This window comes from Homo sapiens, chromosome 10, assembly GCF_000001405.40.
Source record: "Homo sapiens chromosome 10, GRCh38.p14 Primary Assembly".
In the NCBI taxonomy this organism is placed as follows: domain Eukaryota; kingdom Metazoa; phylum Chordata; class Mammalia; order Primates; family Hominidae; genus Homo; species Homo sapiens.
The window spans coordinates 58,986,059-59,009,748 of NC_000010.11; the positions used below are offsets into that span (position 1 = coordinate 58,986,059).

Sequence of the window (23,690 nt, forward strand, 5' to 3'; positions counted from 1 at the left end):
AATCATTGGAGGAAAAGTCTGAAACAGAATGAAAAATAAATGGGGAGATAAATTGAAAGGGAAATGCTGAATTCTTCACTTCAAACTCACTCCAGAATCTTTGAGCATAGGATCTAAAAGTTTGCAGTTTACACACTTCTCAGCTGAGTTTTATGCACACTTGAAGTTGGAAAGTTCTGATCTATTGGGAGATACATTAACAATACAATTAATGACAGAAAAAAAGGGATTGGTGCCAACTGGTGAAGGGTGATGGGACAGAGGGATCATTGTCAAGGAGATTCAGACTATGCAGAAGAATAGGCTGCTTGGATTTTGCACAAACAACCTATGAAATTGGGGGCTTTATGTGAAAATCAAAACCTAACTGCATCCACTTTTCAATGGCAAATGTACCTGAGTTGGGCATTTAGAATGAAATTTATCAGTGACACCAATCATTGGATTTAGAGTCCACCATAATCTGGTATGATTTCATCCTAATTTCATGAAATTTTCAAAGATCCTATTTCCAAAGGTTGAATTCACAGGTACCAAACTTAAGATTTTGTAGGGGCAGGAAAATGTGATAACTTTCCTCACCCATTATAAGGGTCATAGCTGACATTCCTTTAACAAAAGGCAGATTAACAACAAAAAAAATGCATAACAAATTCATTTAATCAAAGTTTTACACAACAAAAGAGACTTCTGAAATTATGACCAAAAGACCCAGGGAAAACTGTTTTTATGCTTAGTTTTGATGAAGAATGGACAGCCATGTAGAAATGTGATTGGGCAAAAGGGTATGATCTAATGGTAATAAACTGAGGTGGAGAACCTAGCAAGGCCCGTCCAGATTCTTCTCAGCCTCTCTGAATAGCATTCTCTTTCTACCCAGGTATGGGGCAGAACCCCTCTAGAATGAAAGTCTTCAAGGAAGAAAGGAGAAGAGAGAGACCTTTTTAGGTTTTATGGCTTGCTTTAGGAGAAAAGGGTTCCAGTTTTTATGACCCACCTTGGAGAAGAGAAATTCTAGTTTCTATGACTTGCTTCAGAGGTGAAAGAGAGGCTGTAAACAGGAGGGCAGGAGAAGGTCAGAGAGACCTTGCTTCTGAGGCCCTTCCAGTGTCCTAAAGTTTGAAGTACTCAGCATGCTGAAGTGCTATACTTCGGGTCTTCTTGTTCTGAGCTCCAACAACTTCAACATATCTGTGTGGGGGACACAATTCAACCTTTACTGACACTTTGTTCAAAGCTACCTTCGTTTTGCTTAAAGCTGTTTTTGCCCAGAAGACCAGCAGCAGCCACACCATCAAGACCCATTTTTTCCTACTTCTTCATTTACAGACCTATAAATGATTCTAGAGCTGTACTTCCACTTTGGCAAAAGTATAGCTAAGACAGAAGGGATGGTGACACAGCATCGCTTTCTCTATCACTAGACTGATATGCATTAAATTACACTGACAAGACAGATGCCCTGGGAGCAAAGGACCAGTGTGTAGAGAGAGAGAAAAACAAAAGTAGCAATCAAAGTACAGGTGAAGACAGTTCCTCATTTTAGAGCTTTTTCCTGCCCATATATTGGAATACTTATTTGACCATAAGAAGTTATTTGTCTTCACATCAGTTTGTTTTGTCCAAAGTACCTGAACATCAATGTAAGAAAGCACAGAATTCCAGAGAGACAGACAAAGTGGCCTCTTATGAACACTTTGATCTGTTTTTTTTTTTTCCTGTTAAATTGTTGTAAGAGAACTCCCCAAATCAAGTTTCAAGCTAATTGCTTTTAAGTCCTTGTAAATGCTCAAAACAAAGAAACATCTTTGCCGTTTGGTCAGTGACGAGGAATAGACTGAGTTCTTACTCGATGAGTTTTTATTTCCATTGGAAATTGCAGGCATAATGCATTTTAAGTAGACAGCTCTAATTCCTGGTTGTTAATGAAGACAATCTTTAGAATCAGGTTGGCAGAGTCCAGGATCAGGATCACAGGGATAAGGACATAGAGAGGAAAGAAGAAGTAGAGATAATAAGCAGGTAATAAGGAGGAATGATGTCAGGAGCAACAGATATCAAAATCAGAAGGGTTGGGGATGCTGAAGGCTCTAAATTGGATCAAGGCAGATAATCGTCACTGAGAATTCCTAGCATCTCCCAGACCTGCTTGGTCCTGGCAATATCTGCTCGAAGGTGGTTCCCGCAGCGTCAAAGTTTTACTGAAGCAGTTCATTGAAGGGAACTCTCACATGCACACTGTGGATTTTGTTTCCATATTTAAGGGAAGGGGCAAGGAGAGGGGAAAAAAGGCTTCAGGACTTTAGTTCCTTTGCTTTTTGCAGTCTAAGCACATTAGCTCCATACAAAGTGTAAAATTCTTCTGTTTCAGAATGAATGGATGCTATTTTATCACCTTCCAGCTCCATCCCACAGGTGTGAGTCCAGAGTTATTTTGTTTTCTCATTGATAAATGTTGTAAAGGAGGTTCCCTAGAGATGGGAGAAAATGAAAAGCATTTCACTGACTTGCTGAAGAGTGAAGGAAATCCAAACAGATTCTGATTCTGGCTATGGAGCCAATGTTATAAATGAAAGGAGCCATTTTACAAGGCAGCTTTTTCCCTCCCAGTGACAGGGCATATCAACCGCTAAGAAGTCTTCAGGGCCATTGCCTGGATCAGGGCCTCTGTGCTGATGGTGGTAGTGGGGCCCTCTGATATTGGCTTGGGAGCTATAGCAGCTGCCTGAGAAGAAGCTGCAACTTGGAATAGACTTGGAAGCCCCCAACACACTTGCTTCTGCAATTTATCCTGAGCCTATGTCAGGTGATTTCGCAGTCCTCAATTATAGCTTTGAGAGGCTACAGGGTAGGTTGTGCAGTGGATATACAGGGATGTGTGTGTGTGTGTGTGTGTATGTGTAAGCTGGTTTCTGAGGCCGACCCATGCTACTAGACAGAATTGCTTGACCCATATTCATCTATGATGTGGTTTGGATTTGTGTCCTGTGTACCTGCCCAAATCTCATGTCAAATTGGAGGAGGTGCCCAGTGGGAGGTGATTGAATCGTGAGGGTGGATTTCCCCCTTGCTGTTCTTGTGACAGTGAATGAGTTTTCATGAGATCTGATGGTTTAAAAGTGTGACACTTCTCCCTTTGCTGTCTCTCTCTCCTGCTACTATGTGAGGAAGGTCCTTGCTTCTCCTTCACCTTCCACCATGATTGTAAGTTTCCTGAGGCCTCCCAGTCATGCTTCTTGTTAAGCCTATGGAACTGTGAGTCAATTAAACCTATTTTCTTCATAAATTACCTAGTCTCAGGTAGTTCTTTATGGCAGGATAAAAGCAGACTAGAACCAGAAGAGAAAGCAGAAAACGTACCAGAAGAGTGAGGCACTGCTATAAAAATACCTAAAATTGTGGAATCGACTTTGCAACTGGGTAAGAAGCAGAGTTTGGAACAGTTTGGAGGGCTCAGAAGAAGACAGGATGATGTGGGAAAGTCTGGAACTTCCTAGAGACTTGTTGAATGGTTTTGATCAAAATGCTGGTAGTGATATAGACAATGAAATCTAGGCTGAGGTGGTCTCAGATGGAGATGAGGAACTTATTGGGAACTGGAGCAAAGGTCACGCTTGCTGTGCTTTAGCAAACAGACTGGCAGCATTGTGCTCCTGCTCCTGAGATCTGTGGAACATGGAACTTGAGAGAGATGATTTATGGCATCTGATAGAAGAAATTTCTAATGCATTGAAGTGTTCAAGATATGACCTGACTGCTCCTAACAGCATACAGTCATATGCATCCACAAAGAGATGATCTGAAATTGAAACTTATATTTAAAAGGGAAGCAGAGTGTAAAAGCTTGGAAAATGTGCAGCTCAACCATGTGGAAGAAAAGAAATTCAAGTCTGCTGCAGAAATTTGCATAAGTAACGAGGACCTGAATGTGAATAGCCAAGGCAATGGGGAAAATGTCCCCAGGGCATTTCAGAGACCTTTGCAGCAGCCCCTCCCATCACAGGCCTAGAGGCCCAGCAGGGAAAAATGGTTTAGTGGGTGAGACCCAGGGCCCAGCTGCTCTGTGCAGCCTTGGGACATTGTGCCCTGTTTCCCACCTACTCCAGCTCTGGCCATGGCTAAAATGGGCCAAGGTACAGCTTGGCCATGGCTTCAGAGGATGCAAGCCCCAGGCCTTGAGAGTTTACACGTGGTGTTGGGCCTGCAAATATTCAGAATGCAAGAAATGAGGTTTGGGAACCTCCACCTACATTTCAGAGGATGTATGCTAATATCTGGATATTCAGGCAGAAGTCTACAGCAGGGGCAGAGCCCTCATGGAGAACCTCTACTAGGGCAGCATGGACGGGCAATGTAGGGTTGGAGCCCCCACTGAGGCACTGTCTAGTGGAGCTGTGAGTAGAGGGCCACCATCCTCCAGATCCCAGAATGGTAGATCCACCAACAACTTGCACTATACACCTGGAAAAGCCACAGGCACTCAACTCTAGCCCGTGAAAGCAGCTGCAGGGGTCGTACCCTGCAGAGCCACAGGGGCAAAGCTGCCCAAGGCCTTGGGAGCCCACCTCTTGGATCAGCATGCCCTAAATTTAAGACATGGAATCAAAGAAGATTATTTTGGAGCTTTAAAATTTGATGACTGCCCTCTTGGGGTTTGGACCTGCATGGGGCCTGTCGCCCCTTTGTTTTAGCCAATTTCTCCTATTTGGAATGAAAGCATTTACCCAATGCCTGTACCCCCATTGTGTTTTGGAAGTAACTAATTTGTTTTTGATTTTACAGGCTCATAGGCCAAAGGAACTTACTTATCTCAGATGATACTTTGGACTGTGGACTTTTCAGTTAACGCTGAAATGAATTAAGACTGGGGGATTGTTGAGAAGGGTTAATTGTATTTTGCAATGTGAGAATGACATGAGATTTGGGAGAAGCTGGGGTGGAATGATATGGTTTGGATTTGTGCTCCTGCCCAAATCTCAAATTGGAGGAGTGGCCTGGTGGGAGGTGATTGGATTATAGGGGAGGATTTCCCCTTGCTGTTTTCATGATAGTAAGTAAGTTCTCATGATATCTGATGGTTTGAAAGTGTGTGACAGTTCCCCCTTTACTCTCTTTCTCCTGCTACCCTGTGAAGGAGCTCCTTGCTTCCCTTTCACCTTCTCCCATGATTGTAAGTTTACCGAGGCCTCCCTGTCATGCTTCCTGTTAAGCCTGCAGAACTTTGAGTCAATTAAACCTCTTTTCTTCATAGATTACTCAGTCTCACGTAGTGCTTTTTTTTTTTTTTTTGAGGCAGAGTCTCGCTCTGTAGCCCAGGCTGGAGTGCAGTGGCACGATCTCCGCTCACTGCAAGCTCCGCCTCCTGGGTTCATGCCATTCTCCTGCCTCAGCTTCTGGAGTAGCTGGGACTACAGGTGCCCGCCACCACACAGGCTAATTTTTTGCATTTTTAGTAGAGATGGGGTTCACCGTGTTAGCCAGGATGGTCTCGATCTCCTGACCTCATGATCCGCCTGCCTCGGCCTCCCAAAGTGCTGGGATTACAGGCGTGAGCCACTGCGCCCGGCCAGTCTCAGGTAGTTCTCTATGGCAATGTGAGAACAAACTAATACATTCTATGGCCTTAGGGTTGTGCATATAACTCTAGAATGTCATTATCTGCTCAAAATAAGAAGGAGAGTTGTTAAGCTATGCGGGAACAGGGGAAAATATAAAACTAAGTATACTTTACTTAAGTATACCTATATAGCTTATGGGATGAGTATACTCAAAAGTTTTAAGTTGCAACCATGTTGGCATTACTGGGCATTTTGTATATCTTGAGATTTAAGGGGTCCCAAGAAAAGCTCCTTCCCCAAACTTCTCCACCAGGGCTCCATAAAATTCTTACATCCTGCACTTCCTTGCAGAAGGGCAGAGATCCTTGATTAAGAGATGCAAGTTTACCAGTGTGTACTTTGTAGCTTACATGGCAGCTCTCCAAGCTGATTACCAGCAATATCTTCATTGCTGCACCATATCTCCTGGTTGAAAATGACAGGGGCAGGTCATGCAGGAACAGCATTGCCCTCTCTTTCACTTATATTGACCAGCTCCCTGTGAGCACCATTCCTTCAGGTTTCAATGAAATGAAAAGAAGCTTCTCCCACACTAGAAGGTTAGGGTACCCTGAGTTCAAGTATGTAGGTCACCTGCTAACTTGGAGTTTGGTACAAGACAGCTAAATCTTAGCATTCTTTCACATATTAGTGTAAATTTAGAAGGGACTTGACATAGGAGCAAGTAGACCTAGATTTGGACTGAAAAGGCCTGAATTTGAATCTCAGCTTTTCGTGTCATAGCTGTATGATGTGTGGCAAGTTACATAGCTTGTTTGAGGCTCATTTTCTTCATCTGTAAAAGTAGAGTCATAATATTTATCTTGCAGCATTGCTCTAAGGATGGAATGACATCTGCAGTTATGCTTGGTACTTAGTAGGGAGTTAATCTATGTTTATCTACTAAATAGATCATTACTTTATACTTTTCAAAATGCTTTTATATATATTATCCATTTGTTCTTCTAATACCCCAGTAAGGTAGACAAGGGTAATTAGGGCAGAACCAGGAGTAGAACCAAGAATTTCTGACTCCCAGTAGTAGCTCTGGTGCTTCCCAATAGTGTAAATTTAAAGGGAACAATGGAATAGCACATTCATCTACTTCGTTTGGACTTCAATGAGTTAGATTGAAACTGTCAGAGGGTGGTGAATGGACTTGTCATTTGAATAAAACACTCAGCTGTCTCTCCCTGTTTGGGAAATCAGTTTATTTGCTCCCAGGTATTGTGCTGTGTCTTATTGCAATTCAAAAAGTTTATTTCGGAACCTTAACACAGAAAGTTTTCCCCTTACAAGTCCCTAGAGGCCATCTGAAGAACCTAAGCAGTATGATTTGAAGTTCATGCTGTCCCTCTGAAGCAGCTGACACAGTAAGTGACTTACACATTGCCAGGTCATCTGGATTAGTTCACAGGTTTTCTTCAATCCCAAGATGGATGCATTTTTTTGTAGTTGATGTGCATTTGGAACAGTTCCTTTGAAAGGATGCTGGTCCTCTTCCTCAGTCCAGGAGGTTCAGAGATATACAGTTGCCTGGCTCCAATATGAATGGTTGTCCTTGCTAAAAATGGTTGTTCTCTTCCAATGCCAGAAGAGGTAGCCGGGAATAATGCTACTCTGTTTGTGATGTCTTATATGGGAGAAGCATACTCGTCCCAGGGAAAGTGCTCTTCTATTTTTGGATTCTAAGAATTTACGTTGAGTTCATGTGAGCACATGTGCATAAATTAATATGCCTTTGAATCCAGCTTTTGGGATATTTAGTTAATTGGAAATGAGGATTTCTCAGATAATGGCATAATGGCATCTCAAAAAAAGTTTAGTTTTGGTTTCTAAAGAGATTTTTATTTTAAAGACCACCTAGTAAAAGATCTCAACGTAAAATTTTGTTGTTCTCTTTAAATGGCTCTAAATAGTGCTGGAAGTGTTTAACTTGTTTCAAAGATTCTAATTTGAGCCTCAGACAGCTGCAGTGGTTATTAATATGAGCACAATGGTTGACATTTTGACAACAGCCCCTAGTTTTCGTTTACGCTTTCATACTAAATGTCCCTTTTGTGCACAGGGCGTAAAAACCATGGTCAGATGACTGACTTGGGAGACACGCCTGCACACTGATCAGCATCTGAGAGCCTTTTTTTTTTTCTTTTAAGAGAGTGATACTCTTTTAATAGAAAAATTGGTAGATTGCTTATTAGATTATAAATATTTAACACGCTATTAGTCTTTCTCCAGTGTAGTGAAAATTTAAGGAGAAGAAACTTATTAATAAAATTAGTGAGGAGTGGTGTGTTCTTAATGCATATTTACACTAAGTAAATTGGCATCTAAAAGTGTCATGGGAGATTGGCCTACAATTAGAACAAATAAGCAGTTCTTTGTCATTCAACTGAAACATTATTTAGAGGTGAACATTTTCAGTCAAAGTTATTTTTGCCTGCTTATTCTTTGTAATTTTCCAGAAACTAATGTTCTCTAAATGAAAAACAACAGAAAAAAAAATCCGATGGCATATTCTTTTCTTAGCTGTTTTTTTGAGTCTGTGCTGGATTCATGTGTATTTATATTTGGTCTGTGCATTTTTCTTGCAGAGCACCATTTTGCTTGGTTGAACTTTGTTTTATAAGTGTACAAAGGCTTAAATCATCCTGTGGGCATCTCTGCATGTGTCACATTCACCAGGCAACTTGTCTAACTCTGTGAATATGTTTCTTTTGAAGGACTTGGCTGATTCATTGTTTGAAGAAAAGCAAATAAACAACTTAAATACTGAAAAATGTATGAGTTAATATCTCTGACCTGGGCTGAGCCAAAGGCAGAATTATAAAGTATAAGCATTTCCCTATAGAGTGTGCTTTCACAATTCAAACTGACCATTTTACAAATTAATGATAATGAGATTGATGAATTAGGAAACACACCTTGCATCAACCAGCCTATCTTCCCTCCCAGAAGATAAGCTCCTGACGGTCACAGACTATCTCTGATTTTTTTTCATTTTGAATTTTCTGTGTCTGGTCCAGTGTCTGTCACATGAATGAATGAATGAATTCTTATAGGACTTAAATACTTATATACAGCTTAAATATGAGTTGTTTAATTTAATCCTCACTACTAATATGTAATGTGGATATTCTTATTATCGTCATTTTACAAATAAAGAAATTTAAGTTCAGGTTGCAATGATTACGCAATGTTATCCAGCTAGGGAAGAGCAAAGGAGAATCATTAACCTTTATCTTTTCACTCCAAAGTCCAGACTTCTAAATCTGATTTCTGTCACACAGCTCCTGGATTCTGCCATTGTAGCTTGAAAATAGCCACAGAGTGCATATAAACAAATGGGCACGTATGTATTCCAGTGAAACTTGATTTATACCACAGGTGGGCCTGATTTGGCACACTGGCTGTAGTTTTCAGTCCTTAATATAAGTTCTAGTCCAGGCTATATTATTAAAAATGGCAATAATAAGATAATAAAAATACCAATAGCTAACACTTATTAAGCGATTCAGGAAATATATTTGCTTCCTCCAACTTATCTCATTTAATAAACCGAATCACAGAATAGTTATGTCACTCAAGGTCATTGAGCTATTGCTTGTAAAGTTAGATTTAAGCCCAGGTCTGCTGACTTAGGCATTCCCTCGAGGCCTTAGAATTATGACAGGAAACTCCTGCTGTCACCAAAATCGGACAACAGAGCTGCAGGATCTAAAATAAGTGACTTTGGGTGGGTGGACCCTTGTTATAGTTAGTCATTCCGTCATCTTTGATGACATGAAATCCAGAAAAATGGGGAAACATGACCCTTGTGTTCCCACAGGTTGGAGCGTGGGGATGTTAGCTGCCTAGTACAAGCCCATCACTGCATGATGTACCCTCAATGACACAGGACTCTGGAGACAGGAGGCTCTGGGGGGAAGTCTGTTGCCCCTCTTGGCATTTATACCTGCTCTCTCTAGGCCATTATTGCTTTCTAATATGCAATGTAAATATTTTCCTGCTTTTGAATCTCTAATAAAGAATGTATTTAAATAGAATTATGCAAAAATCACACAAGCCAGAGTTACAAACATTATATCAGACAGAATAAGATACCATTTCCATCTCATTCTGCCTCACCTTCAGGGAGTGTATGTTTGGTGCCAGCAACAATCCCATTCAGCAGGCAAGGCAAGCAGGCAGAGTTTTTCTGGACTGGTCATGTGTATTACCCTCATGGTGCTTCAGAAGGATGCTGTCACTGAGGCTACAGTACTAGAATCCTGGCCTCAGGAATGTGGCTTGGTGGCAAAGTGATCATTTTAGACAGGCATGACTGATTTTTTCAATGAAATAATGGTCTGTATTCAAAGCTTCCCTTAACATAGAGAAAGTATACAGATTAATTTCCAACATTACAAGAATCAAATCAGCTTCCTCTGATTTTCTTCCATTGGCAAACCTTGTTGCTTGCTCCACAGACTCCATAGGGAAGACAACATCCTGAGACCTTAGGATCTTCAGGTTGCCTTCATTGCTGTTGGGATAAGCCATAGCTGTGTAAAATATGGTACTATGAGAAGGGGGAGAAAGTGAAAGAAAGATAAGGAAGGATGAGCAAAATAACACCTTTGACTAGTTTATAAAAAGAAGTGGTGGGGAGAGGGGAAAATTGGAGCTGGTATTCAATGGTATAGAGTTTCAGTTTTGCAAGATGAAACGTTCTAGAGATCTGTTGCACGACAATGCTAATATATTGCTATTTAACAATACTGAACTGTACACTTAAAAATGGTTAAGATGGTAAATTTTATGTTGTGTGTTCTTTACCACAATTTCAAAAAAGAAGACTAAGAAGTGTTCAAATGCCAGTTTCATGACTATCTGTGTGAGACTGAGGATACTTAGGAGCCTAGTTTTCCTCACTGGTAAAATCGGGGTTATGATTCCTAACTCATTACATAAGGTTAAATGAGATGTAGTACATACAGTGTCAACAGTACTTCCTACTAGTAGAATCTCAATAAAAGCTAGTGCTCTTTTCCCTATCACTCTTCCCCAACACTTTGCCCATTGCTTAGGTAGCAGATTTTATCTTCTTATGGGATATTTTTCCAGGAAGATTAAAAATACTCTGGGTAGTACCTAGTTCTGGGTGCTGAGAGGAGTAGTGACGGAATGTCAAGAGTGCCCCCATGTAGGCTTCTGGGTGAGGAGACAAGAAAGGAAGTGTGTGAGCATACAGTAACATACACACACAATCACACACTCACACAAATCAATTAAGCAGAGTGCAAGACAGGTACATTAACAATTACTAAACCCAGAACCTTAGACAATCAGTACTCCAGATGTTTACAGAAGTGAGAGAGCAGAGTAAGCTGGATCAGTGCTTTTCAAACTTGAAAGTGCAATCAAATTCCCTGGGGAGCTTGTTAGAATGCAGATTCTGATTTCGTAGATCTGGGGGTGGGGCCCGAGATTCTGTATTTCTAATAGGTTTCTGGTCTACTTTGTTTATTCATGCATTTATGAATTCACTATTGACTCTGTCATGTGCCATGTATTTTACTATAAAGGAGGAATAAAACAATGATGAAAATATAGCCTTTCTTTCAAAAAAGATAACAGACAGGTAAAGTAAAGATTAAAATACAGAATGGTAAGTGGTAGAAATATTCCCAGGGTTCTATCGGAGCCCAGAGGCATGAGATACAGATTGAATGCTTCATGACGACTGGATAGGAGTTTAAGGGCAGTTCAATAGCATGCCCTTCAATAGGATGGGAGTGTTCAATAGCATTTTTAAGATTGTCGTGATAGGACCAAAGCAAAGGGTCTGGGAAGAAGAGTGGAGAGAGAGAAAGAGCTGGACAGTGGTCAGCGGCCAAGTTGTAAAGATTCTTGTGTGCCAAGCCAAGGTGTTGACACAACATTCTGAAAGCTAAAGTGACCTGTGCAAGGAAATCCAGAGGGAGCTCAGAGGGTCCCATCTCAAGATGGTGTGTTCTCAGCCTTGATCTTTCTATAAGTGACTATACCAGCTCCTGTCTAGGACCTAAGCTCTTGACAATGTTTTACCTGATTGAGTGTCCACCTCTTTCTTCTACCCCAAACATGTGAGCCACATTTCTTCTACTCTATGGTTTTCTTTAGAAGAGGTTAGTAATGCACAATGAAACAAAACTAATTTGTCCAAAGCAGAGCCCTTCAGAAGTTAAGAGAAGTTCCAGCAACCTTGAGTATTCGAGTCTCCTGGTTTATTTAAAAAATAAAACAGGCCAGAATAAAGTGATGACATTTACAGAATATTTTAAATATTTTCATTAAATAAATGAAAACTTTTGTCACAGTAAGTATGTTGCAAGAGAGTGTTATTTTAAAGATAATTATCATTTTATAAACATTAAAGTACATTAGAACCAGAATGGGGCATAAGATTAATGCCTGCTTTTAATTCTGTATCTTCGTGGTTTTATATATATAACCTAATTTGAAAGCAAGAAAAGTGAAAAGGTGAAGACTTTTGTAAATGTGAGGCTGGCTGTAACCGTCTCTGCCCCTTTTCTCCCTCCCTACCTACCTAACAGTCCCTGATCTAGGAATTTTGGAGATTCTGTTTTTCTTTTCTAATTATTGGAGAAAGCACTACAATGCACAGAGCACTAGATTTCATAGAGAAAAGCAATTGAAGGGTAGGCAAGGTGACCAAGTACCAAATATCAGTGACTTTTAAAGACCACCTTGAGAGCCAAAGAACCCGCTGTGTTGCTCCAACCTGATGCCAACATGGACACATGCAGCAGAATGACAAAAACCACCGCAGAGGAAACAGGCATGTCAGCAAGTAAGAGACAGACTGGCGAGTCCTCTATTATCACCCCTCTTTTTTTTGTTGGCTTAGTGGAAGATTTCCTGATTTGAAAAGACAAGTTTATTTTTGAGACAATGAAACACAAATGAATGTGCAAAGAAAAGGCATATCTGGCTAGGCACGGTGGCTCACGCCTATAATTCCAGCACTTTGGGAGGCTGAGGTGGGCGGATTATGAGCTCAAGAGATCAAGACCATCCTGGCCAACATGGTGAAACCCCATCTTTACTAAAAATACAAAAATTAGCTGGGCGTGGTGGCGCATGCCTGTAGTCCCAGCTACTCATGAGGCTGAGGCAGGAGAATCACTTGAACCCGGGAGGCGGAGGTTGCATGCAATGAGCCGAGATTGCACCACTGTACTCCAGCCTGGCGACAGAACGAGACTCCGTCTCAAAAAAAAAAAAAAAAAAAAAAAAAAAAAAAAAAAAAGAAAAGAAAAAAGCATATCTGCCAGCCAAGAATCAGTTTTCAGCTTAAAACACAATAATACAGACCAAATTTAGCTCCTGTTCCCTGAACCAGTGGCAAAAGCAGCTAGTGCACGTGCCCAGGAAGCCACATGCAGCATGTTTATCCCACTATCCAGCTCTGTGGTGCTTTACTGGTTCTACACGTTAGGATTACAGATCCTTGTAGGAATAGCTTCTGCGCTTTAATGATTTCTTAAGAAAAAATAAAACAAGATCTAGATCATAGACTCCCATCAGAGAGCTTACTGGGAGAAAGAGCTGTATCGTGAATTATGAAGATTAAAGGGGCATCCAACAAGGGGAAAAATTAAACTATTATCTCGTTACTTTGGTAAATTAAAATTGCCAGGCCTAGGCAAAGATCTGACTGGCCAGAGTGAATTTTGGAGTGAAATTTTATGGTTATGTCTTTTAAAAGCCATGTAAATCAGCAAGCGTAAAGCTGACAGGACCTTGCAGGCTTCAGCAAGAACACACTGTCCCTCTCATTTATTTAAAAGAATGCTGCCCCTGCTCAAAGGCCTGCAGTGAGCCATGCCAATGTGGTTTGGCTGGACTGTGAGTGCTTGATGCAGTCTGATAGGAGGATGGGGGTGGCGCAGAGAACATTGAAATCAGAAAGGATTCTGCTCTGTAGAGACAAAGGAAACACAGAGACATAGACATGGATCTGGGAAATACACCTTTTGCTACTCGTTCAGTTTTAGCAAGGAGGTTTCTTGCATGGCTAAGCAAAACTTAAACTTCCTCTGAGAATTACAGGAATTACAGGACCTGACAAAGCTATGAAGATTAAAGTAAGTTAAATTGACTACTTTGACCAGTCTATGATTAAATGCCCTATATAGGATGTAGAGACAGGTGTCTGGTTCAGAAGAGGAAGGGAAGATTGGAAACTGGTTGGAGTAAGAACTGAGCCTGTGGACTATGAGAATGTCAGAGCAGAAAGGGCTTTAGAGTGAATCTGGATACCCTCATTTATATAGATGTGGCAATGGAAGGAGACCCCAGGTGATTTTCTTAGGGTCACACGGTGATACCTTGTTGTGATGAATATATACAGCTAGTAGAACTTTTGATTAATGTGAGTGCGGCAGATTTATTGCAACAGGGGCTCCAATTCTTTTCTTCTCTCTATCCAAGCACCATGGGATGTAACTTTGTAGCTCCTCCCATCAAGAAGTCTACTCAAGAGGTCTCATTGAGGTCTACTTCCTGTACCTCCAAACCTGGGTTGGCTTTGAGACTTGCTTTGGTTAGTAGAATGCAGCAGATGTGATGCTATGCAGTCCCAGGCCTACGCCTCAAAAGCTGTGCTTGCTTCTGCTCCTTCTCTTGACCTTTGCCTCTATTAGCCCTGACTAGCCTGCTGAAGGGACAGAGACCACAGGCACAGAGCTGAGGTGTGCCAGCTGAGGCCATCTGAAACATGGGAGAGAGAGATGGCTATGGTCAAAGAAATGCTCAGCCAGGCCTGACCAAGATCAACAGAACCCACCAGCTAACTGTGAATGTGAGAACAGTAAGAATGGCTGCTGTTTTAAGCCTCTTAAGTTTTGGAGGTGGTTGTTTGCAACATTCTTGTGGCAACACTTGGCTAGTCAGTGGTGCTATAATGAGAGGTTGGTCACTGAGAGGAGAAAGAGGGAGCAGGATAATCCCTGGCATGGTAGGTCTTGCAGTTTCCATCATGGAGTATGGTGGCCAATTTAAGAAAGAAACTGTCCTGGAAACAGATCCCAGAAAAATCTCCTCACTGTGATTGTGGCATTGTGCTGTCTAAATGCCAGACAATCCTGAAGGGTTTGTATCATCACTTCCTAAATTAGAAATGATCCTAGGGCTCTTCCAATTCTGATTTTATAGAAAAGGAAGCAGAGGCTGCGCAGTGTTAAGGCAAGACTAGCTGCTTAAGTTAATGGGCCCAACACAAAACAAAACTGTGGAGTCCCTTGTTAAAAAATTACTAAGATGGTGACAGCAGGGCCTTAAACTAAGCACAAAGCCCTTTTAAGTATGGGACTCTGTGAGACCGCACAGATCTTATGCCCATGAAGCTGACCCAGATTTAGGCAATTTGTCCAAGGACATCACTTCGGAAGATTCATCCATCAGGCTATTCTTTACCCAAAAATGTAACTTGGTATATTTGTTAACTGCTAGTTCAAGAAGCAGGGCAGGAACCTAAGGCCTCTAGTTCCCACTCCAGTGATTCTTCTTTTTTTTTGTTTTTGACAGACCTATAGGAAGAAAATCTGAACCAGAAACAGTATGGCAGAATTGGGATCTGACTCACAGAGGGAAGAACTTATAATTCTTCACAGGTCACATAGAAGCATGAGAATTTGGGTTCAAGCAAGTAAATTCTAAATCAGAATCCATACATAAAGTGTTTGCAATGTCCAGTTATATCTCCATGATATTTTCTTTGTGGAAGTTGATTGTTCTTCCTTACAATAAATTGCTTGAATTGTCTGTCTATTCATTTAGCTATTTCTTTTCTTGTCTTTGCGATATTTTTTTTTGTAAGTAAAAAATTTTCAGACTAAATAACAGGGTGTAATTTTTTGCTTTGTTTCTCCTAAGTTTTGTCTTGTTTATGACATTAATAATTTTCTAAAATCTCTGATTTCTTTTCTGTAGAATGCTTGAAAAATGACAGCTCAATATGCACATTACCCCATCCCTAACCACCTTCGTCACTACTTTGAATACTCTTCTCTCACCCGACACTGCAGTTAAATATGATTGGAATCCTTGTTTCTATAGTAAACCAGTCTACTTTATTTTATGGATGATTAATTTAAAAAATTAAACTCTGGGCTTCCTTCAGGTTTTCTAAGGTTTTTCCCACTGGCTTATAATGGAAAATTCAAAAAGGGCCTCTCAGGTAACAGAGACAAGTTTGTAGATTTAAAAAAAAATTCCTTTAGAAAAGACAAGGTTTCTGTGACCTCCTTTTTGTGAGACAATGAAAGTGACAAGACAAGATCTTAAATAATAAAGTTAAAGCCATCAGTAAAGGCAAAAGTCAAAGATGTGAAACATCTGTGAGAACACACGTAAAAGCTAGTGGGGATATCTCGAGGAACAGAGCTCAGTTTTGCATCAAAGTTCAGGCCAACTGAACACCAAGGCTTGATGGCAGCCAGAGTCTTGCTGTGTAGAGTCTGGTTGCTTTCTGAATGGACACGGATTCTTGCTTTGAAGATTACTTGTTAACTCACCAAACACACCCAGCCCAGCTACCTGCATCATTCCTTTGTCAAGGTTCCCACCTACCTGGCCCAGCTGCAGGTGAAGGCCAGATTCTCAGGGTATTTTACCCATCCCCACTTCTTCTCTTTTAAAAATCACTATTCTGAATTTACAGTTGGCCAATGACCTCTAACTGGATTAATAAAATGTCTAATTTAGTTTGGAACATTGAGCTTCTGTTTCACTTTGGCTTGTTCAGGTTTTTATTAAATCAGAATAAATTTTCATAGTCCCCATGGAAATGCCAGCCTTCTCCATTAAGTTGGCAAAACATTTCCATTTCCAAAGAAGTATTAAAACCTGTTTCCGGCCAGGCATGGTGGCTCACGCCTGTAATCCCAGCACTTTGGAAGGCCAAGGCGGGCAGATCACAAGGTCAGGATATCAAGACCATCCTGGCCAACACGGTGAAACCCCATCTCTACTAAAAATACAAAAAATTAGCTAGGCATGGTGGCACGTGCCTGTAATCCCAGCTACTAGGGAGGCCGAGGCAGGAGAATCGCTTGAACCAGGGAGGCAGAGGTTGCAGTTAGCCAAGATTACAGCACTGCACTCCAGCCTGGCGACAGAACGAGACTCTGTCTCAAACCACCACCCCACCCCACCCCCCCAAAAAAAACCCCTGTTTCCAGAGAAGGTCCTGTATTGGTCAGGACTGGTCAAATAAACATGGGTCATAATAATCATGACGTCCTGTCCTGGTTTTTATCTTTTGGGTATGGTTTGTCTTTTGCTACTTGGTGTTTCTACCCAATCTATTTCATATCTGTTTCCCGCGTTTCTCTTGTATATTTCAGCCCAAACACCAAAGCTGTGATCCATTTTTAGTTTCCAAGGTCACATTGGCACAGAAATCTTTCTGCAGGCATCCCTTGAGGAAAACACCAAACTACAACTTTCTGCCCTTAAGCTAAAGGCTGTATAAGCCTCTAGCTTCTTGCCTTCTGTTCAGCTGGGGATTTTTCTCTTCCTTTTTTATTCACTCTTTTTCCATTTCCTTCTCTTGGCACCAGGTACCCCAGATTCCTTTCTCTTGCTCTCTCCTGCTTTCTTTCATTTGACCCTGAAAGCCAAAATGCTGATAAGCTCCCTTCCTTTGCCTCATTAAAAAATTGCCATAAAATTTATAGCTGACTTAGGCCAACCATCGCTGATCTTCTTGATTTAGTTACTGCCAAGAAGTGTTTTATGATCATCCACTGACTTATTTACAACAAACCCAATGAAGTCCTTGGTATTAGGAGCCTGTATAGATATTACTTGTTTGGAAAATAGGGTGGGTACTTAGGTACTTGAATTTCTCTGTGTAGGCTGGGGTGGTTTGGGTTGTTTTGCTTATGCATTTCATATGGAAAGGCATAATCCCAAGCCTTCATATGTAATAACATGGACTCATTGTGCTGCTGTGTGGCAAATGTATACAGCCCTGAGACAGCACAGGAAATTTTCCAATACTTCTCTAAGCATTAGTTTCAGGAGGCCATTTGTGAGGCTGGTAAGAGAAAACAAATTGTGTTGGTCATAATAAAATTGTCCGTTGGTGGAAACTGTTTGAATACCTCAACGTAATGAGGTTAATTGATTATACAAAAGTGATTTAGAGGCTGATGTAATAACCACCTGTTTTGAGTCTGCTATTTGAAAGACGGGTCAGGGCAGGAATAAATTAAATGTTTGCAACATTTGAATTGTGTTGATTGTTCAGTTGTGTATTTAGAATATGTGAAAGGGATCTGTTCCCCCTGTAATCCCTGATGCTGTTGTTGGTCACAACATAAATTTAAGGTGTTCAATAGTACCAAAGCTCTTTAACGGGTGAGGCTTTGTCCTGAGTAAAACAGTGTAATTACCTGGAACAGATCCATAAAGAAGAGTTGTAATGCATGTTTCCAAAGAGAAATCCTGACTGTATTTTTTGGAAAGTGAACCCTAAAACAATGGTGCCAGGAATTACTCGAACACTTCATTGTCATAGAAGAAATCTGATGTCTGAGGAACAGTTGTAATAATCTGCCTTCTCTGTTTGCTTCCCCCAACCTGGCTAAGGATTGACTTAGGGTCTGGGGTGGTGGCAATAAAGATTAAGTGTCTGCAACTGCACTACTGATTACTATATGTTCCTTTGCTGAGGCCACTGCTATTTTCTAAAGAGTTGCTAGTGGAGAAGAGCCTGGTGATGAAGGTAGAAAAATAAAGACTCACTTCTTTAAGTTTAAAGTGTACTTCACCCAATAAATACAGAAGCCAGAAAAAGGAGTGATCATAGCAGGCAAATCTGACACAGCACTGTTAGAGAAGTGCCACTTGGTAAGTCAGGAACTGTGGTTGCATAAACTATGTATAAACCGAGGCCCCACATGACCTAGCCTCTACATAATGCTCCATGAAAAAGCACAGTCAAGAAACCAGTCATTACAACTGAAACCTGCTCTTTACTTTGATCTCTTAAAGATTGTGATAGTAGATCCATTTATAATCCATGGTAAAACACCTTTCAAAACTTTTTTTTTTTTTTTTTTAGAGACAGGGTCTCACTCTGTTGCCCAGGCTGGAGTGCAGTGGCATGATCATAGCTCACTGCAACTGCAAACTCTTGGCTTCAAGCAATCCTCCCACCTCAGCCTCTGAAAGTGCTGAGATTACAGGCATGTGCCACCATGCCCTGGCTCCCAAACTGCCTTTGCTTCCTTTCTTGTTTCTCAGACTCCAAAGCTGCTCCAGAGACTCTCACATGCCAAATCCTAAAACACTTTCTCACAGAACATGTGGCCCATGTGGGCTTTTGTTCTTCACCCAACTTCTTCAGTTTGCAGGTCTACTCTACCTGGCTGTTTTTGTTTGGTTTTGCTTTGTTTTTTCTGTCCTTTTGTTTGTTTTCTTTAACGTGGTCTGCCTATTCTTACAAAAAGCTTAGGAATTAGTTTGGCAAAATTCTCTTAGAGGGCAAGGCAGGGACAAATGAAGAATCTGAGTAGATAAAGACAAAGTCCTCTTATTAGGGGGAGTTGGGTCAGGAGTCTCAAATTACTGCCATGTTAAGATGTTTTGTCCCTTAATACTGTCACAATTAATAGTAAAAGTCAACATTTATTAGTAGTTAATATGTTGCATTCATTTTTCTAAGTGTTTTTACATAAATTATGTCATAACTAATTTTATCTCGCAAATTTGTAATATCACCATATGAATAAGGAAAGTGTAGTTTACAGAAGTTGAGTGATTTGCCCAAGGTTACAGGGCTGGATAATGGCAGAAGTAGGACTTCCCAGCCTCAGTCTCCTTCCAAAGCCCACTTTTATTTTATTTTATTTTATTTTTTTTGAGACAGTCTTCCTCTGTCACCCAGGCTGGAGTGCAATGGCACGATCTTGGCTTACTGCAACCTCTGCCCCCCTGGTTTAAGAAATTCTCCTGCCTCAGCCACCTGAGTAGCTGGGATTACAGGTTTGCACCACCACACCTGGTTAATTTTTGTATTTTTAGTAGAGACGGGGCTTCAGCATGTTGGCCAGGCTGGTCTCAAACTCCTGGCCTCAAGCAATCCTCCCGCCCCCACCTCCCGAAGTGCTGGGATTACAGGTGTGAGCCACTGTGCCCGACCTCAAAGACCACATTCTTAATCATCATAACTTTTAGGTATCAGCATTCTCCAGTGGCTGAGGTTACACTGAGAATAAAGTGATCATTGAAACACACTAATACTGTTCAGATATAAGAAATATAATTGTCTCTATCCTTTCATAATACTTTCTTTTTACATAATTTTTCAGCTAAATGTACCATTTTTGACCCATATCTGTAATGACATACGGATTACCAAATGTTAGACACTTGTCTACAAATTAGTACTGAAATTTTCCAACTATAAATGCTTGTGATTTGGAGGGGAAATTCAATTTTTAAATTTCTCTCTCTTTTTTTTTTATTATTTACTGTTTTGCACACAAAAGATCAGAGGAAATTCTATGGTTCACAGTTATAATTTTGAGACTGTTTCTTCATCTCCACTCTGTCTCATCTGTGAAGCTGGAGGGAGGAAGGATTTAGGAGAGAGATTAGGAGCTCGTCAGAGCATGACAGTCATGAGTGGTACCCAGAGTGTGGGAATGACCTCTAAACACAGTTGCCAGCTCTACTGTCAAAAATATCACCTCAAAAAATTATCTTTGCATAAATTTCTACTTTTTGAACAAATTTCCCTTTTGGTATAAATGTTTCCTGCTATCTTTGTATCCTGATTGAAAGTGAAATGCTATGCCTCTGAGGAGATTCATCATTACCCTTTGGAAGATAGGCCCTAAATCACACTTCCCACTTTTCTCTTTTTGGCATATGCCTTCAACCTGGAGTGTATGTCTTGAGTCACTTTCGTTTTCAGCATCTGGAAGCTGTGTTAAGTCACCATCTTCAAGTCTCCTGACTCATAAATCACGTGTCAACTCCCTTGGCTGCTGGTCAGTTCAATTTCTGTTAAAATTTGAGCTTGAGTTAGTTATTTGAAGGACATGGAAACAGAGCAAAAAAAAGAGGCAGAATGCAGGGCTGTGACCTAACATCTGGAGACCTTGGCCTTCTGGGTTAAAACAAACACTGGAGCTACAAAAGAATCATTCTGTCACCTGACCCCAATTCCTTGACCTTGTTACAGAAAAGGTTTATGTAATTATTGCAAGACATCTACATATCCCTACATAGATGGAAAACAATAATACATCTTATACATACATATACTATTCATTTTTCACATGTAAGTAGGTGTTGTAATCAATATGACACAAATGGTTTTAATAACATTAAATTTATTTGACAGTATGTATTTTCTTATTCAATATGTAAATATAGGCAAGAGATTTTACTACTATCATGAGACATTTATGAATTCTTAGAAAGGAATTCTCACTTTTTAAAAACAATTGGGAATTGCTAATGTAAATAATGATGGTTCCTTGTGGTCAGCAAAATGGAAAGAAACATGGAAGGGGTCGGAAATATGAAGGCACTTACACACACACACACACACGCACACAAAAGCTATCAATTTCTGTCAGAAAATTGGCTGACGCATCCTTGCTTTACCTTGGAGCTATGGGAGGTAGCTCTTGATTTAGCTGCTTAATTTAGCATGGGTGTTAAAGAACCCTGTGTCAGCAAACTCACAGGAAGAACTTGTCATTTCTATTGGTATTCTGTCTAAGCTTCAAAATGGCATGACACTCAGGTGCCCTAGTGTATCATAGTCTTTGATATTTTCCTGAGGAGAAATCATAGATGATTATGAGTCAATGTGTAAAGAGATAAATAAAGGGCTATCTTCAATTGTGCAACTTCTGCTTCTAGTTAATAATTAAAATGGAGTATCCAAAAAGCCCAGTGGGTAAGTTGTTTAGTTGGTTTTCAACAGTCCCAAGTCCATCTCTCCTTCTTCTGGTAACAGGACCTCAATTTTCCTTTAGAGAATTGTCCATACCCATACTAGGCACATGGCCCAGAGCTAGTCCCCAAATTGCTGCTTGAATTATTGGGAAGGAAGTGAACTCCTCCAGATGAGGTTTTGAAACTGGTTAAAAGTAAGTTTGGCTTGTGATCACTTTCGCCATCACTGGGGAGAGCCTGCCTAAGAATAAGTCAGCACAGGGGACAGCTGCCCAGCAAATAGAGAGAGTCCAAAGAAACCATTGAACATCTGATCTAAATATTCCTGAGTCTAACTTTTGAGTTATGTGAGTCAATCAAATTTCGTTTGTTGCTTACAGGTTTGAGTTGGGGTGTTGTTACTGGCACCATTAAAAAAGCCTAACTGGCCATGCGCGGTGGCTCACACTTTTAATCCCAGCACTTTGGGAGGCGGAGGCAGGTGGATCCTGTGGTCAGGAGTTCGAGACCAGCCTAGGCAACATGGCGAAACCCGTCTCTACTAAAAATACAAAAATTAGCCAGGTGTGGTGGCATGTGCCTATGGTCTCAGTTACTTGGGAGGCCGAGGCAGGAGAATTGCTTGAGCCTGAGAGGCAGAGGTTGCAGTGAGCTGAGATTGCGCCACTGCACTCCAGCCTGGGTGACAGAGTGAGACCGTGTCTCAAAAAACAAAAACAAACAAAAACCTAATTAATACAAAGTTGTTCTTTTGTCCCTCAGCCTTCAGTGGAATTTACCAACATCTTTGCATTGTTTCTTTCCACATTCCGCCCTCTCACAGCAGAACTGCCCCAGCCTTACTTTCTTATGGACCCTCCCAGTGTGTAGCAGGACATTTTCTGGACATTTTCTCTTGCAAACCAGCTGACTTTTAGGCACAAGGCAGTCTCAGCTGCCGAGCATGTCCAAGAAAAGGTGGGGATCAGAAGAGACCCTGTGATTCTCCTGGGGAACTTGGCTCCCAGGCAGCACTGAAAAGTCATCTCAGACCAGAGTGTTCTAAAATGCAAACAAGCTTTCTTTTCAACTGGCAATAAACAGTGCTTGATGCACTGCAGTATACAGGGGTTGCCAATTTTTTGATAGAGCAGCCCAGTAGCCCAGCTGAGGATTCTGAGAAGAGGGAGGATTGTAATAGTGTTGTTTTGTGGAGATGGGGTCTTTTGATGATGACCCTGTGATTTCGCTTCAATTCCCTTTTTTCTGTGCTTTTTGTCATTCTTGTTTTCCCGGCTGTGTTCCTTTCCATTATCACTCTTTTCTTTGTCTGAAATTGGACCCATAGAAATTAGCCTGTAATCAGGGGACATGAGAATCCCTAAATTGCTCTCATTTTGATTTTCTACTTTGTTAATATTTCAGTATATGAAACACCAATGAGACATTTGAGATCACTGGCCCTTCAACTTAGTCATGCTACTATCTAACCTGCTGCATGGAAAATTTGAGTATGCATCATAGCATCTAAAATCGACATTTCTAAATCTGTTTGTGGTACATTATGTAGAAAATTACTTCAGTCTCACTAGTACTTGAGAAACCTTCATCGTACATCATTCCAACATCCCAGAAAAAGAAGCACGTGGGAAGATTTGTATATAAGGGAAATAGGGGAACAGCAATACAGTATTGCAACCCATTGATAAAGATGAAACTGACTTCCTTAGCTTAATTGGACTTGACTCATCCTTGATTTTTGTGTTTCTTTGTGCTGCTTAATATATAACCAAATATATATAACTGAATGAGGTAGCTGTTCCTCAGTGAACTTTGCATAAGAGTTAAAAAAAAAGCCTGAAATTAAAGTCTTTATAACAAAATGAAATCCCCCCCGAAGTATAGGCAGAAACTTTCAGTAAGTTTTTTAAAATAACACTTCAAGTATATTGAGCACATCCTATGTGCCAAGCATTTTATTATACATGTGTTACCTCATTTGGTCTCAGTACCTGAGACAGGAACAATGAGTCCCCTCAGTTTTCCTTTTTTTTTTTTCCTTTCTTTCTTCTTCTTCTTTTTCGTTTTATTTTATTTATTTTTAGTGATGGAAGCTTGCTTTGTTGCCCAGGCTGGAGTGCAGTG

General features: G+C 40.7%; 1 long non-coding RNA gene across 1 annotated transcript, besides 1 other annotated feature; it reads left to right on the forward strand.

Moving 5' to 3' along the window:
- Nucleotides 7,616–7,665: a silencer, noted in NCBI's record as "silent region_2381". NCBI's record gives its function as "represses an Ori minimal core promoter by ATAC-STARR-seq in GM12878 lymphoblastoid cells {active_cell/tissue: GM12878}" and the evidence as "EXISTENCE:reporter gene assay evidence [ECO:0000049][PMID:35858748]".
- LINC00844 (long intergenic non-protein coding RNA 844) lies at nucleotides 13,460–15,559 on the forward strand. Its single transcript, NR_108046.1, has 2 exons — nucleotides 13,460–13,729; nucleotides 15,171–15,559. It is a non-coding gene; the product is annotated as a long intergenic non-protein coding RNA 844 (long non-coding RNA).
- The last annotated feature ends 8,131 nt before the right edge of the window (nucleotides 15,560–23,690 follow it).